At 50.6% G+C, this 16,212-nt stretch overlaps 2 protein-coding genes across 6 annotated transcripts in view, besides 6 other annotated features; both read left to right on the top strand.

Moving 5' to 3' along the window:
- Window positions 1-16,212, top strand: part of ANKRD11 (ankyrin repeat domain containing 11) — a 222,932-nt gene that overhangs the window by 103,296 nt on the left and 103,424 nt on the right. The window lies entirely within an intron of this gene.
- LOC128462377 (uncharacterized) overlaps window positions 1-16,212 on the top strand; it is a 101,247-nt gene that overhangs the window by 31,027 nt on the left and 54,008 nt on the right. The window lies entirely within an intron of this gene.
- Window positions 2,991-3,664: an enhancer, noted in NCBI's record as "H3K27ac-H3K4me1 hESC enhancer chr16:89450010-89450683 (GRCh37/hg19 assembly coordinates)". NCBI's record gives its function as "activates a minimal SCP1, AML or CMV promoter by ChIP-STARR-seq in naive H9 embryonic stem cells {active_cell/tissue: H9 hESC(naive)}" and the evidence as "EXISTENCE:reporter gene assay evidence [ECO:0000049][PMID:30033119]".
- Window positions 3,665-4,339: an enhancer, noted in NCBI's record as "H3K27ac-H3K4me1 hESC enhancer chr16:89449335-89450009 (GRCh37/hg19 assembly coordinates)". NCBI's record gives its function as "activates a minimal SCP1, AML or CMV promoter by ChIP-STARR-seq in naive H9 embryonic stem cells {active_cell/tissue: H9 hESC(naive)}" and the evidence as "EXISTENCE:reporter gene assay evidence [ECO:0000049][PMID:30033119]".
- Window positions 4,704-5,211: an enhancer, noted in NCBI's record as "H3K4me1 hESC enhancer chr16:89448463-89448970 (GRCh37/hg19 assembly coordinates)". NCBI's record gives its function as "activates a minimal SCP1, AML or CMV promoter by ChIP-STARR-seq in naive H9 embryonic stem cells {active_cell/tissue: H9 hESC(naive)}" and the evidence as "EXISTENCE:reporter gene assay evidence [ECO:0000049][PMID:30033119]".
- Window positions 5,212-5,720: an enhancer, noted in NCBI's record as "H3K4me1 hESC enhancer chr16:89447954-89448462 (GRCh37/hg19 assembly coordinates)". NCBI's record gives its function as "activates a minimal SCP1, AML or CMV promoter by ChIP-STARR-seq in naive H9 embryonic stem cells {active_cell/tissue: H9 hESC(naive)}" and the evidence as "EXISTENCE:reporter gene assay evidence [ECO:0000049][PMID:30033119]".
- Window positions 11,345-11,845: an enhancer, noted in NCBI's record as "H3K4me1 hESC enhancer chr16:89441829-89442329 (GRCh37/hg19 assembly coordinates)". NCBI's record gives its function as "activates a minimal SCP1, AML or CMV promoter by ChIP-STARR-seq in naive H9 embryonic stem cells {active_cell/tissue: H9 hESC(naive)}" and the evidence as "EXISTENCE:reporter gene assay evidence [ECO:0000049][PMID:30033119]".
- Window positions 11,946-12,035: a silencer, noted in NCBI's record as "silent region_7900". NCBI's record gives its function as "represses an Ori minimal core promoter by ATAC-STARR-seq in GM12878 lymphoblastoid cells {active_cell/tissue: GM12878}" and the evidence as "EXISTENCE:reporter gene assay evidence [ECO:0000049][PMID:35858748]".

Below are 16,212 nucleotides of genomic sequence, written 5' to 3'. Positions count from 1 at the left end.
CAGGCCTCTCCCTTGAGAGATGCTTTTTTTTTTTTTAACTTGGCACTCCAGATCTTCCTGTGTGTTTCCTTGCTGAGCAGTGTCCTTAGTGGGCCTTCTTCACCATTGTTTGGTGGTGGCTGTGTGACCTACCTCTCCCACCCTCGCTGCTCTTGGCAGGGCAGACACCTCCTCCATGTCACTGGGGCCTTCTGTGGCTCCTGCACCTTCCAGGAGGTCTGAAAGCAGCCCTGGCCTGTCACCACGGGCGGCCTCCAGAGCACCCAGTCGATACAGGGCTCCCAGGGTGGGGCCACCCTCCTGCCCTCACTGCCAAGCCCTTCATGCCCTTGACTCGGTGGTCGAGGCGTGGGGAGCTGGGGCAGGGTCTCTTGCTGGCACACTTCTCAGGGCTTGTCTGTTCGCACACAGCTCTGGCTGTGATAGGACTGAGTCTTCAGGCTTCTGCTTTATGGAGATGCTGTTTACAAGTCATTGTGCCATCTGGAAGGATTCTACAGTGCTATTTTGGATTGATGAAATCCAACAGTCAATGGTTTTAATAAAAAACTTGAGTAGCTTATAAGCGTGTCTGCTTTTCCACCTAGCAGAAGGTAAGGGAGTCAAGTTTCCTGGACGAGAAGAGATTTGTGATTCTGTCTTGACTCGTGTCCTGTAGGGTGCTTTTGGATACACTCCTCCCCGCGGGCATCTTGCAGGATGCAAGGTCGTTGCGGGCCACTGCCATCCTTCCAGAGAAGAGCCCCCTTTCCCCCACACCCTCATGCTGTGTGCCGGGTTCTATCCTCCACTGTCCCTGGTGAGAAAAGAGGGCCTCTTGCTAGGGACCAGTGGCTGGGTTTCTGGCGTCTCCTTGGGTAAAGGGTGGGGCAGCAGGGCAGTGTGGACGGTCCCTGGACACACGAGTAACGTTGGGAATTGGTCGTGCTGCCCTCAGAAGGGAGAATTAGTGCATTGTCTGTCTTAATAATCAAGCTTTAAAAAAAAAAAGTGACTGATTTTTAACATGGAGTCATTTTTTATTTGGTCATTATGTTAATGGAAAACTTGTAGTGTGGATTTCCATTTTGTTTTAAACTTACATTAAAAGATGAATTGTTCATTGGAAGCCGGTATTGTATTTTCTTAATCTGTAATGACTTTACTTAAAAACGAAAATCTGAGGAATAGGAGAAGCCCTGGCATCCCCTTTGCTTCTCTTGCAGACAAATTGGACCCAGTTTGCGGGCATGGCGGCGCACACCCGTGGTCCCAGCTACCTGGGAGGCTGAGCGGGAGGCCGGCTTGAGCCAGGGAGTTCTGGACTGCTGTCCGCTGTGTGCTAAGTTTGGCATCCGTGTGGTGACCTCCTGGGAGTGGGGACCACCGGGTTGCCTACGGAGGGAACGGTCACAAATGGAGCTCTTGGCGAGCCGCTGGTGTCTGGCCTAATCCCCGGCCTCTGGCTGCGCAGCGGCGGGGGTGAGGCAGGCAGGCTCTGGCACGGTCTCACTGCCACTCACGTTAGCCTTCTGTCGTCAGACGTGAAAGTGGTGCTGAGTGGGGTTTTCTTTGCAGACTGTACGTGATGGACTGTACCTAAAGTGAATTCGTAGTTTTGAAATCTTTAAAGCATTTGAGTGAAATGTGGAAATGCATCATCGTGAGTGTGTTGTGTTGGGAATATGGTGACTGTCTTCTTGCTCACTCAGTAGAGTTGGAGAATTGGTAGGGAGCAGCTTGAGGCTCTGACACAGGGATACCCACAGGGTCTCGGTGTCTCTGGCGCCCTTCCCTCTGCCCGGTGCTGGCTTGTGGACGGGCTCAGTCTGCTCTGCCATAGAAAACCATTTCTGTCTGCTGGGTCCGGTGGCTCACGCCTGTAATCCCAGCACTTTGGGAGGCTGAAGCGGGTGGATCACCTGAGGTCAGGAGTTCGAGACCAGCCCGGCCAACATGGCAAAACAGCGTCTCTACTAAAAATACACAAATTAGTTGGGCATGGTGGCAGACACCTGTGCAGTGAGCTGAGACGGGCCATTGCACTCCAGCCTGGGTGACAGAGGGAGACTCCATCTCAAACAAACAAACAAAAAAACACCATTTCTCAAGGCCGGGTACAGTGGCTCACGCCTGTAATCCCAGCACTTTGGGAGGTGGAGGACCTGAGGTCAAGAGTTCAAGACCAGCCTGGCCAACATGGTGAAATATCGTCTCTACTAAAAATACAAAAATTAGCCTGGCATGGTGGTGTGTGCCTGTAGTTCCAGCTACTTGGGAGGCTGAGTCAGGAGAATCACTTGAACCCAGGAGTCAGAGGTTGCAGTGAGCTGAGATTGTGCCACTGCACTCCAGCCTGGGCGACAGAAACGTAGTCTCAAAAAAAAAAAAAAAAAAAAAAAAAAAAGAAAACTATTTCTCATTGTGTGCTCCCACACACATGTTCTTACACACGTATGTTCTCACCTGCAGCGGTTCTGTTGTTGGGCTGTCTAGTGGGCCTGCTTTTTCTGTAGGTGCTAAATACAGGTTGCCAAAAATACAGTAAGACCAAAAGGCCACCTGATTGAGGTAAAAGGAGGGAAGAATTGAGTTCTATTCTTTCTGTAGTTTGTGTCTTCGCAGCTCCTTTGAAGCCGTCAGTGCCACTGCCAGTGCAGAGGCTCCTTCCTGCAGAAGCTGCCCTGCTCTGTCCTGCCCCATCCCGTCCCGTCCCATCCTGTCCCATTCCCATCCCATCCCATCCCAGTCCCATCCCATCCTGTTCCATGTCGTCCCATCCTGTCCCATTTCCATCTCGTCCCATTCCCATCTTGTCCTGTCCCATTTCATCCCATCCCGTTCTGCTCTGCCTCAGCCCCCCACATAGCTGGGATTACAGCCATGCACCACTACGCCTAGCTAATTTTTGTATTTTTCATAGAGATGGGGTTTCGCTATGTTGGACGGGCTGGTCTCGAACTCCTGACCTCAGGTGATCCACCCAACTCGGTCTCCCAAAGTGCTGGGATTACAGGCGTGAGCCACCGTGCCCAGCCTTGAGAAATGTTTGTTTTTGTTTGTTTTTGAGATGGAGTCTCGCTCTGTCACCCAGGCTGGAGTGCAGGAGCACATCTCAGCTCACTGCAACCTCCACCTTCTGGGTTCAAGCAACTCTCCCTGCCTCGGCCTCCTGAGTAGCTGGGATTACAAGCGCCTGCCACCACGCCCGGCTAATTTTTGTGTTTTTAATAGAGACAGGGTTTTGCCATGTTGGCCAGGCTGGTCTTGAACTGCTGAGCTCAGGTGACCTGCCTGCCTCAGCCTCCCAGTTTCAGATTCTTTATCTTGCTAGATGCTTTTGTGAAGCGCCTTCGTCAGTGGGAGGTGAGTTTGACAAGGCCCTAGCGGGTGTTTGTGAGACAGAGGTATGACTGGAGCTTGGAGGTGGTGTTTGGGAAAGGTGGGAGTGAGGGAGGAGTCTGCACCTTTGCCCTCTGGGTGCTATCATGATTGGGCTCTTGGCATTGGGCCTTCTTGGCTTTCCGTCTGCTGCTTTGCTGGTCCGAGTGCAGGGGCTGGACGTCTGCTGCGTTGCTGGTCCGAGGGCAGGGGCTGGACGTCTGCTGCGTTGCTGGTCCGAGGGTAGGGGCTCGACGTCTGCTGCGTTGCTGGTCCGAGGGCAGGGGCTCGACGTGACACCATGGGAGGCTCTTCGGCTTTGGCCATTCCTGGCCGTGCTTTGTTCCATGGGAACTTCATGGCTCTTCCTTCTTGCAGACACAGGAGGCAGCAGCGTCCACTGGACATGGCCCCGAGGTTTTGAATGAGACAGAAATGAGCCCATCAGGGAGGGTAGATACAGCGCCTTTCTGAACTCACATTCTCCCAGAGTGTGGGGACAGCCATGGCACAGATCTCCTCGTCTTGTTCTCTCAGGAGGTCAGCGTTGGTATGGGGCTGCTGCTGCCCCTCCAGAGCAGCCAGGCAGGCATGGCTAGGAGGGGTTCCCTGGAAATCCTAATGGCAGTGCTTCTGGCAGAGCCGGTTATCTTGAGCTTTCAGCCAGCTGAACACTTTGCTCTTGTGGCTCCTCCCTCTTCCTCCCTGAGGTGACCTCGCACCGCTCCCTTTACTCAGCAGCACAGGCGGCTGTTTGGCCTTAGGCTGTGGGTCCGCATGAGCCAGCACACCCAGCTTTTAAAACCTATATTACAGTGGTGTGAAAGTTGAATCCAGACGAGAGAGGTATATGACATGGCATAATTGAATAACTACCTTTATTAAAAGTTACGCTTTACAAGCCTGGCACGGTGGCTCACGCCTGTAATCCCAGCTCCTCGGGAGGCTGAGGCTGGAGAATTGCTTGAACCTGGGAGGCAGAGGTTGCAGTGAGCCGAGATCATGCTGCTGCACTCCAGCCTGGGCAACAAGAGTGAAACTCTGTCTCAAAAAATGGGCAAACAAAGGAAACTCTACTTTTGTTTCTTGGATATGATGTCAAGGTGGTGGTTAAACGTTTATTTCAGCTGAACACAGTTGACTCACACCTATAATCTCAGCACTTTGGGAGGCCGAGGCAGGAGGATTACTTGAGCCCAGGAGTTTGAGACCAACCTGGGCAACATAGTGAGACCCCATCTACTGGAGGGGGGGAATTGTTTATTTGTCGGCCAAGTGTGGTGGCTCAGGCCTGTAATCTCAGCACTTTGGGAGGCCGAAGTGGATGGATCAAGGTGGATCACTTGAGGTCAGGAGTTCGAGACCAGCCTGGCCAACATGGTGAAATCCCGTCTCTATTAAAAATACAAAAAATTAGCCAGGCTTGGTGGCACGCACCTGTGATCCCAGCTATTCAGGAGGCCGAGGCAGGAGAATTGCTTGAACCTGGGAGGCGGAGGTGGCAGTGAGCCGAGATTGCACCATTGCCCTCCAGCCTGGGTGACAGAACGAGACTCTGTCTTTAAAAAAATATATATATATATATTTCTAGACTTCGGGTGCCTGGCTGTCTAGTTTAAGATGCAGTTAGAGGCTCAAGGAATTTCTAGACACCTTTTAACTTTGCTTGGGTCACTCCTGCCCTGGTCAGTGGCCTTAAATCCATTTGATGGGTTCAAGGGCTCCAGGGGAAAGAGGAGATGGGTGGGAGCAGACTCTCTGTCCCCTGGGTGTGCCCAGCTGCTGGGAGGCCGCGTCCCCCTCGCCCGTTCTGGTGGCGCCTGCCTGGGCCCCATTCACTGGCTCCTTCCCATCACCTTCCCTGGGCCTGGACAGTCGTGCTGGCTGCTTGCACGGTTTGTAAAGCACTTTTAGTTAAACGATCTCAGACACACTACATTGAAGATAGAACTAGATACAGTCTGAGCCCCGTGGAGAGGTCACAGCCTGAGAGTGCAGTCGGCTGGACTGTGGTCACCACGTGAGTGGCCTGTGGCAGAGGCTGTAAGTTATGCCCTCCTGGGTCTCATCTGACCTCTACCTCTTCCCCCCATTCGCGTGGGGTCAATGTGCTCGGGGAACACTTGTTCACAAAGTGTATAAATTCGGTAAGGAGGGGTGTATATGCTGACAGGTATTCTCCAGTCTGAATGTGAGTAGCAGAGGGCATCTGTTTCCTGATGAGAGTTCTGAAGGTGGGTTTCTGTGATGCGCATTTGTGACAGGCATGTTGGGGGATGTTGACAGCTTTCATCGTTCTCCTCTTGTTGGAAAGCGTATCATCGCATGTAAGTTACTTGTTTGGATAATTAGAAAATCATAGTGCATGTTTTATAAACTAGAATGCTTACCCTCATTTTGCTTTTTATTGATGATTTAATGTTGGGGCTGTTACAATGTGAAAAGCTCTTGCTCCTTATACAATAACCCTAAACTGGTAGGTGTTGGTGTCTGGGAGTTTCTTGGTGTCTTGCTTCTAATAGTCTGAACTCTTGCTTGCCCTTCTCACCCCTTTTTTTTTTTTTTTTTTTTTTTGCAGCAGAGTCTCGCTCTGTAGCCCAGGCTGGAGTGCAGTGGCGCATTGTCGCCTCACTGCAACCTCCGCCTCCCGGGTTCAAGCAATTCTCCTGCCTCAGCCTCCCCAGTGGCTGGGATTACCGGTGCACACCACCATGCCCAGCTTATTATTTTTATTTTTTAATTTTCAGTAGAAATAGGGTTTCGCCATGTTGGCCGGGCTGGTCTCAAACTCCTGATCTCAAATGATCCACCTGCCTCGGCCTCCCAAAGTGCTGGGATGACAGGCCTGAGCCACCTCGCCCAGCCGCCCTTCTCATCCCTTTTTGGATCGATTGTTTACCGTGTGCTCAGGGGCTTCACTCGGAGCCCCTTAGAACCTTGCCCAGCAGAGTGGGCCCACACTGGGAAGCAGGGATGCGTGCTCCGTCTGCCTGCCTCAGCTGTCCTCTGCCCACGACCTCTGAGCTGCATTGCCCCGTGTAGGCCTGGTCACCTTTGGGGCCGGAACTGCACACACTCCTTCCTCCCATAAGCCCCAGTGCTCGTGGTGGTTACGCAGCCCTGCTGCCCGTGCAGGAGATGCCCCACGAGGCCTCCAGCTTCTTCTCTGCCTTTGCTCACTTCTCTTCCCTGGAAAGCAGGCAGGTACTCGTCAGGCTTTCCTTCATTTATTTCTAGAGTTTCTGCAGATCTAGAAGCCTGTCTCCTATTGGTTATTGTCTTTTAACAAAGACCTGTTTGGCATTACACAAAAAATGCTTTCACAAGTCCCAAGGCAGCGGGCAGGTCCTGGGGCTGCTCTTCGTGCCCTGTGTCCCGTTTCTTATGCAGGTGGAGACTGCTGGTCGTTCTCTGGAGTAGCCCCAAGGAAGCTATCTGAAGGCTCAGGGAGCTCTAATCCACTTAGGAGAAAAGGAGTTAAAATGGCATCATTGGGCTGGGCACAGTGGCTCACACCTGTAATCCCAGCACTTTGGGAGGCCGAGGTGGGTGGATCACCTGAGGTCAGGAGTTTGAGACCAGCTTGGCCAACATGGAGAAACCCCATCTCTACTAAAAATACAGAATTAGCCAGGCGTCGTGGCACATGCCTGTAATACCAACTACTCGGGGGGCAGAGACAGGAGAATTGCTTGAACCTGTGAAGTGGGTGTTGAAGTGAGCCGAGATCACGCCATCGCTCTCCAGCCTGGGTGACAGAATGAGACTCTGTCTCAAAAAGAAAAAAACAGGCATCATTGTTTTGCAACTGGGGTACCAGAAATAACATCTTTCCATAGTGAATTTCTGGTGGCAGAGGAGCTTCATATATACCCATTGATACTTGGACCTGGACTGAAGCTTGAGGGGTTTGGAGATGCAGAAAATAGTGTTTGGTAAATAGAGATGAAAGTGTGTGTTTTGAGAAATGATGATTGGAAAACTGAAAAGGTCAGTGTCTGCAGCCATGTATTTCTTTCTAAATTTTTTATTTTTCTGCATTTTCAAAAATTATATTTTTTGGGAAATTATTATGTATACTCTTCTTGCTGAACAGAATGTTAAAAATACAGCTGACATCTTCTTTGCCCGTTGTACTCAGTCCAAGTTCTTTGTGAATCACAAGAACCAACACGTTCTTCGCAAATCCGTGCACTGCACGGAGCTCTTCCGTGCTGCTTGGGGCGCTCGCGTCCCAGTCACCTGGAGGTGGGAGGCAGAGAGCAGTGGTGGAGCAGAAAACTGTAAGCTCAAGTTGGAGCCAGGAGGCTGAGGCAGAAGTGTCACTTGAGCCCAGGAGGTTGAGGCTGCAGTGAGCCGTGACTGAGCTCTGTCTGGGCGACAGAGCAAGACTTTGTCTCTTTAAAAAAATGTTCAAGTTGGACTCCTGGAAAGCAGAGTTACATGAGCTGGTTTTGGATGCCCTGACAGGGTGTGGAGCAGGAGGCCCCTGTGGGCCTGTTCCCCATGGTCAGCTTTCGACATATAATGAAAGCCCCGTTCACTGGTAACACTTGATTTGAGCCATTTAAAATTATTTTATAAAATTGTTGTTCCACTTAGGAACTGGCACAAGGTCTTTGTGAGAAAGCCCTAAGTTTTCAAGATAGGATTAAAAAAGCATGAGCCTGTGACGCACATACAGACGGTGTGCACCCCTTCTAGCCCGCCGGCTGCCAGCAGCTCCCAGAATGGCCGTGTGCCGGGGCAGGCATGGGGGCCGGCCCCACCTTCTAGAAGCCAGTGAGAAAGGCCTTCCTGGGGCTGGTCCGCACTGCCGACGTTCTGGGCATGGACGACCCTAAGTTTTCAGTTCTAAGCGACAGTGAATGCCTCAGCCCGGCTTGTCTACGACTGCAGGAGGCGTCTTGACGCTCCCCAGTGTGCCGTCAGAACCTTGACCCAAAAAGGTCTTCAGCCTTGGAAAGCCCTTCCCACCTCGCCCCACCCACCAACCCCTGAAGAGGTTTTCAGCCTTGGAAAGCCCTTCCCCACCTCGCCCCACCCATCAACCCCTTAAAACATGGATAAAAGAGTTTTAAACCACAGCGCCTGAAGTTTGAGACCAGCCTGGCCAACATGATGAAACCCCGTCTCTACTAAAATACACAGACAAAAAATTAGCCAGGCATGGTGGCACACACCTGTAATCCCAGCTACTCGGGAGGCTGAGACAGGAGAATTGCTTGAACCCAGGAGGCAGAAATCTTTGTGTACACCAGTGTCTTCAAACAAGAGAAGCTACTTGAGCACTTGCTAGTCATGCTGGCCAGTTGTGTGTTCTCAGCCAGACTATTTCCAGCCTGCTGTATCTGTAGCCTTATAGCACGTACATTTAGCTTAATATCTTTAAAGCTCTACGTTTTTGCTATTTTCTGAGGAGGTTTTTGTGGTTAGGCTTCAATGCCATGATTTGAAATTATTATCAAGAATTACAAATCAATATTGACCTAATCAATATGGTTGACATACACGTTGATGAAATCATTATATATGTTTGGTCCTTGAACAACTTGGGGATTAGTGGCACTGACCCCTGGTACAGTCAAGTCCACATATAACCTTTTATACCCCGAGTATTTAATTTTGTTGACCAGTGCCTTCCTGATCACATAAACAGTCAACACATTTTAATCCAACACTGACATATACAAAGCACTTTTTTTCCCGCTTCTTAAAGAGACAGAGTCTCGCTTGCCATGTTGCCCAGGCTGGTCTCAAACTGCTGGGCTCAAGTGATCCTTCCGCCTCGGCCTCCCAGTGCACTGGGATTATAAGTGTGAGCCACCATGCCCCTCATATTTTATATGTCGTATGTATTGTATACTGTATTCTTACAGTAAAGTAAGCTAGAGAAAAGAAGGTGTTGTTAAGAAAATCATAAGGAAGAGAAAATATGTTTACTTCTCATTAAGTGGAAGTGGGTCATCATGAAGGTCTTCATCCTCATCATTTCATTGAGTAGAAGGAGGAGGGGTGGTCATGCTGTTCTCATGGGGCGGGGGTGGAAGAGGTAGAAGGGGAGGCAGGAGAGGCAGGCGCATTTGGTGTAACTTACGAAGTGCTTTGTCATTTCTCTAGAAATGTTCCTGTATGGTCACAGTCCTCCCTCACTGTTGGCTTTAGTTTCAGTGCCCATGTCACAGACAGGTGTGTGTTGTACAAGAAGTTAAAAGCGGGTGGGAGTCGTGGGAACCCCTCCCCTCTGCAGGAGTGTCTGATGTCACTTTGTTTTCTGTCACTGCTGCTACCTCCTCCTCGTCACCTGGTGTGGGTCAGAAGCACTCATCACCACCAGGTTGTCTTCTAATTTCTCTGGTGTGGTATCTCTTAGCTCTTGAGTTTTGAAATGAAACCCTTCATCCCTCCCCGCCCCCCAGCCCTCCTGCCCCGGCCCACATGTCCGCAGTCTCTTCATGATCTCCTTGATTGGCTGTTGTAAACCCTGTGGAATCACACACAACCTCCAGACATAGTTTTCTCCAGCAGGAGTTCATTGTTTTGGGTTTGACAGCTTTCATGGCTTTCTCTATAACAATGATGGCATCTTTCATGGTGTCATCTTCCAGACACTCATGATGCTCTCTCTCTCTCTCTCCCATGTTGACAGTCCTTTCCATAGCATGCTGTGTGTAATGAGCCTTACAGGTCCTATGACCCCGATCTAGAGGCTGAATTAGATACGCTGTGTTTGGGGACAGGAAGACCACGTTGACGCCTCTGCTGTTGAACTCACGGGGTTCTGGGGGACCAAGGGCATTGTTCATTGTCAAAAGAACATTTAAGGCAGTTCCTTACTGGCAAGGCAAGGTACTTCCTGACTTCACGGACAAAGCATCAATGGAAGCAGTCCGGAAAAAGGGGTTCTTTCCAGCCTTGTTGCAAAACCAAATACCTGGCAGCTGGTGTTTATCTTTTCCCTTCAAGGTTCTGAGGTAGGCAGCTTTATAGATAAAGGCAGTCCTTATCATAAACCCTACTGCATTTGCACAAAACAGTAGCATTAGCTTATCCCTTCTTGCCTTCTATCCCAGTGCTCGCTTCTCTTTCTTACTAACAAATGTTCTTACAGGATTTTTTTCGCCAGAATAGGGGAGTTTCACCTGCATTCAAAACCTGTTCAGGCAGGGCCAGGCGTGGTGGCGCACGCCTGTAATCCCAGCACTTAGGGAGGCCAAGGTGGGTGGATCGCTTGAGGTCAGAAGTTTGAGACCAGCCTGGCCAACATGGTGAAACCCTCGTCTCTGCTAAAAATACAAAAATTAGCCGGGCATGGTGGTGGGCGCCTGTGGTCCCAGCTACTTGGGAGGCTGAGGCAGGAGAATAGCTTGAACCCAGCAGGTGGAAGTTGCAGTGAGCTGAGATCATGCCACTGCACTCCAGCCTGGGTGACGGAACAAGAGTCTGACTCAAAAAAACAAAAACAAAACCCTGTTCAGGCACATGTCCTTTTTCCTCGATGATATTCCTCATGGTGTCTGGGACCTCATCTGCTACCTCTTGGTTGGCAGAAGCTGCTTCTCCTGTTATCTTGACATTGTTAAAGCCAAACGTTCTAAAACTGTCAAACCATCCTTTGCTGGCATCCACTTCTCCAGCTGCTTCCCCTTCCTTTTACTTTCAGTTGTTGTATAATGGCTTCACTTTTCTGGAATCAGACTAGAGTCTATTGGTATTTGCCTTTCTTATAGCAATCCTGCACCCACACATTTTCATATATCCGTGCTGTTTGGGAATTAATTTTAAAGCTGCGTTTTCAGTGAGATAAAAAGGTATTTCACAAAAAAATTTTCAAGCCTGTTGCTGTAGCTGCGGTGATGGCTTCACGGATGTCCTGTTCTTTTTTTGTGATGGCCCTTCTGCTGGATTTATCGATTTTGAAAAGCATCCACAGCAGAGCACAGGCTGCGGCGTGTCACGCAAGTTTAGCTTTTCCTAAAGTCACAACTCCTGGGAGCTCTGCTTCTTGGGAGCACTGCCAGCATCGCTAGTGGCACTTTGTGTGGGTCTGTGGTGTCATTTAGGGTTTATGGTATTGAGTAAACACAATGAAAAAGACTTGAGAACTGCAAGAGGCTTTTTTTTTTTTTTTTTTTTTAAGAGACGGAGTCGGCTGGGTGCAGTGGCTCATGCTTGTAATCTCAGCACTTTGGGAGGCTGAGGCTGGGCGGATCACTTGAGGTCAGGAGCTTGAGACCAGCCTGGCCAACATGGTGAAACCCCTGTCTCTACTAAAAATTTAAAAATTAACTGGGCGTGGTGGCGGGCGCCTGTAATCACTCGGGAGGCTGAGACAGGAGAATCGCTTGGGCCTGGGAGGCAGAGGTTGCAGCGAGCCAAGATCGTGCCACTGCACTCCAGCCCGGGCGACAAGAGTGAAACTCCATCTCCAAAAAAAAAAAGAGATAGAGTCTTGCTGTGTTGCCTGGGCGGGAGCGCAGCGGCTTGTCACAGGCATGACCATAGTGCCCTGCAGTCTTGGACTCCCGGGCTCAAACGATCCATTTATCTCAGCCTTCTGAGTAGCTGGGACTCCAGGCCCATGCTACCGCAACTAGCTTAAGGCTTGAGATAATTTGTTTACTGTGATACACAATTTCTGGAGAGACCAGCTGCTCACGCGGAGACGATTAGTGTCACACGGTGTTTTAAGCGGATACCGACACACTTGAGCTCACCGCGGTAGCACAGGCTGTGGCTGTGAGATCATTACAGCGTGCAGTGTGGTATGTCCCGCACTGAGTTGTATACACTTCTGCTTGAGCCTGCGACGTTACGTTTGTTTACGTTTCCCTCTGCTGAACGATGCCATGTACAGTCTGTAAGTATTTATAAGCGTTTAATTTTTTATAATCTGTGTATAGTTTATGGTAGGAAATGATAGACTAATATCTACATATATTTTGTACATTCATGACATACTTTTTCTGACTTTTTTCGGTATTCCTGGGCTGTATGGTTTGTAATTCTTTCCAAATGGTCACAAATCTCTAATAAGTTTTTCAGTGTATTTGTTGAAAACAAATCGATGGGTGACTTGCCGTGTGCAGCCAAGCCGTGGTGTTCGGGGTCAGCTCTGTGCACACGTGTGTGTCCACGTTCATCATGGAGTTCTTCAGCTGGCATGTTTTAGTTCCTGTTTTTTTCTGGTCCTTACCTGAGCAGAGTTGAAGTGCTTTTCCCGATGCTCTCTGGAGGAGCTTTTCTCCTCTGATCGTAGCACGCGGGAGATGGCCCGAGCAGCTGTTCCCACAGCTCTCCTGAGGTTGCTCTGTAGATGGCGCATCCTGGAAGCATAGGACAGAGTGTAGCTCACACACACAGCGGCCGGCAGAGGCCATCGGCTCTGAATTCTCTCACAGAGCAGGGCTTGACAGGCTTTTTCTGTACTGGGCCGATTAGTGGTATTTTAGGCTTTTCTGGATGTACAGTTCCTGTTGTATCGTTCAGCTCTGCCCATGTAGAACAGAAGTAGTCATAGATTTTATGTAAACAGGTGAGTGTGATTATTATTATTATTATTTTTTTTACAAAAACACATGGTGAGCCATAACTCGCTGACCTCGGCTCTCTAGTAATATTTTTTAAGTGAAGAGAATTACTAGGTTCAATAAGCATAAAATCTCATTGATTTCTATGAAAATACTGTAAATCTTTGAAGTCTGATATTAATGTTTTTAAAAAGAATTGCCGTGAATAAAGGATCTCTTTAAGGGATGTCATGGGGAGAGGGGAGGGTGAAGAAAATCACCAGTAAAACTATTGATCATTTTTGTCTCGGGTTAACACCCCTCTCTGCGGGCCTCACACTTGCGTGTTGTCTCCACTCTGGCTTTGCAGAAGTGCGGAGCTCCTGTCCTGCAGGTATTGTGGTCGTCAGACCCTTCTGGAGATGTCGAGTGGGCCAGGGCCCCAGCCCGCTTGGTGGTCACTCCTGATGACCCTGTCCCGTGTGGACCGCCTGCCAAGACTCAGGCCCCACCTCTGTGTCAAGTGCAATTAATAGCAGCTCTAACTAAAAGTAAGAATAAGGTTCTACCAATCTTGTAACCCTACACAGGCGTCTGTCAGGTGTCCCTGGGTGCTGGGTTCTTGGGGGATCCCAGGTAGGTGTGGGAGGGGTGTCGTGTGCATGCCTCCCGCGTGGGGTTGTGTCTGCAGCGTTTCTGCAGGTCTTCCTTATGCATCAGCGAGAGTTACATGATGTTTTCATTTCGTGAAGTAAAGCAGCTCGTGGGAATGTGAACTTCCGACGTCAGCCTCAGTCACATGCCGATGTTTTCTCTCGAATCGCTGGTGTCTGGTACTGCTATGAGCCATATTTAGCCTCCCCTTGCAGCCGTCCACTCAGCAGAACTGGGCTTTTCCTGTGACTCAGGCCGTGCACGGCTCGAAGGAGCAGCTGGGTGGACGGCGGTGCTGGCGTGGCTGGAGAGGGTGGCCTGGCTCCCTGTTGGGGTTGCCCCCGGTGGAAGGCGTGTGTTTTGGAATTGAGCTTCCTGCGCATCTGTATCACTGTGTGGGTTATTCTAGCCAGGGGTCCGGTGTTGCTGTGTTGGATGCTGCCGCTTACCACAGCCTTACCACTTATCTGGGGATAATTTTGGAAATAGGTGTTTTTGTTCAAGTTCAGCTATTAAATTGCTTCACAATCTTGGGTAAACGTCTTAGTTTTCCAGTTGCATTGGATGATCTGTGAAGGCCTTTTCCATTGCTTCTGTCATTCCCACAGGGCATCCCTCAGAAGGGCTTTATTTGAACCCCGGTGATATGCAGCGGGAGAAGAGTTCTTTATGACAGCGACAATGGGGACAGAGGAACGGTGACTGGAAGATTCTTTCCTTGCAGTGAACGCACGTACTGTGGGTGCTGTGCCTTCCTCGGGGTGTATGTAGGTAGGCAGGCACACACCAGTCAGCTTGCATTCTGTGGGTGATACTCTCTGAGGTGGACTGGGTCACCCGGGAGCTTCCGGGGTCCGTAAACGGGGACCACTGATGAACGGGTGGTGCAGGAGCTGTAGGAAGTAACTTTCAGTGAGTCCCTGCCACAGGGTGGCTTTCTGACTCTCAACATTTGTTTAACTTTGCGTGGGGAATATCTTCAGTCACAAAATCTGAGAGAACAGTGTCCTGGGTCCCCGGGCTCAGCGTTTACTAGCATTTGACCAGCTCGGGTTGATCCATCTCCTCCTTGCACTTGTTCATGTTTTCAAAAAAATTTTTTTCTTTCTTTAAACATTTTTTAATTTCAGTATTTTAATTTTTAGTATTAATATCTTAATGTTAGTATTTTAGTAAATCTCCAACATCATCTTGTTTTATCAGCTCATGTTTCAGTGGCGTCTCTGTCAGCTGGAAACCTTCCCAAGCCTTGGCCTTCGCTCTTCTCACAGTGACTCAGTGGGCAGCTGGTGCCCTGAGCCGCCTCTCACTCCGCCTGCCACTGCCTTGTCGACCCCGTCCGTGCTGTGAGGGGCAGCATGGGGCTCCGTGACTCGGGCTCTCCACACCGGCGGCAGGCCCTGCAGTGGTGGCCGCATCCGTCGCTGGGCGCTGCCGCCGCCTCCGCCTGCCCCAGAGCCCCTCTTAATCTCAGTGAGAGGCTCGGGCTGCAGGAGGACGTGTGGCTCTTTCCCCAGCTCTGAGTGTCAGGATCCATCTTGCCGTGCGCTGCCGCTGCTTTTCCTCCTGGGAGTGGGCGCCGGTCCTTCTTCCCAGGCCAGGTTGTAAAGTTGCCCGTGTGTGCATGCGAGGGCCGGGTGCCCGCCGTGGTGGTCCTTGTGGTTCCTCAGTCCACCTGGGGACCCACTGGTTTCAGTGTGAGTGCTCAGTCCTGGCTTCACCATGTTCTTGGCCCGTGACAAACCGGTCCCATCTTTAGAGCCTCTGTGGGTTCTTTCTTCCAGCTGATTTCTATGGAGCAGCCTCCTGTTCTGTAACAGGCCAGTCAGTAGAGTTCCTCTTGATGCCAGTGGAGTCACACGGTCACCAGGTCTACCTCCCTTTCCTCCTGTGGAAGAGCTCGGTTTGCTCAGGAACATGATGGACATTGCTGGCCTGGGCAGAGGGCGTGGCCTTGATGGAGACCACCTCTCCTCTCCGTCATCCTGAGGGGGTGCAGGAGGGAGTCCGCATCGCCCTCCACACCCGAGACCACCTCTCATATCCATCTAGTCATCCTGAGGGGGTGCAGGGGGGAGTCTGCATCGCCCTCCACACCCCTCCTTGGGTGTCGTCATGTGGGCAGGGAGTGCACAGCACCCTTGAATGTGGGGAGCGGCGCCTGCCTGGACCTTCCTGCAGCATGGCGGAATCTGAGCTGGTCCTTGAGAGAACTCATCTGTGGGTGGTGCACAGACTACAGACCACATAGCCTGGGCACCAGAGAGAAGCTGCTGGCGTCAGCGGCCCCTTCTGTGGCTCTGGCCTCCATGCACCGAGCAGCTGGACACCTGTCTGTGCAGGGAATGACTTGATTTAAATGACATAAAACGACACCAAATGGTAGAATGGACACTGGCGGTGCTTGTCTGTCATCTCTTTCTTATTCTTTATTTGTTTCTGTTCTGTGAGAATTGCCTAGTGGTGTCATGCTGAACCTGCCTCTCTGTGTAGGTGGCCTTTCTTCAGTGAGTATTTGCGAAAGTGTTGGGAGGTAGTGAGAGTCGTTGCATCTTTTTCTGGCACTTCCTTGGTGGGACCAGCCACTTACGTGCACCCTGAAAGTCAAGACGCTCGTCCCGTCTTCCCCCTCGGCGGTTTTCAGTAAGCGAGCGCGCAGTTGAACGTTTCTCACCTGAACAAGTCCCCT

This window comes from Homo sapiens, chromosome 16 (assembly GCF_000001405.40).
Source record: "Homo sapiens chromosome 16, GRCh38.p14 Primary Assembly".
NCBI lineage: Eukaryota > Metazoa > Chordata > Mammalia > Primates > Hominidae > Homo > Homo sapiens.
The sequence above is the reverse complement of the archived record's forward strand: the minus strand, read 5'-3'. Positions and strand labels throughout refer to the sequence as shown.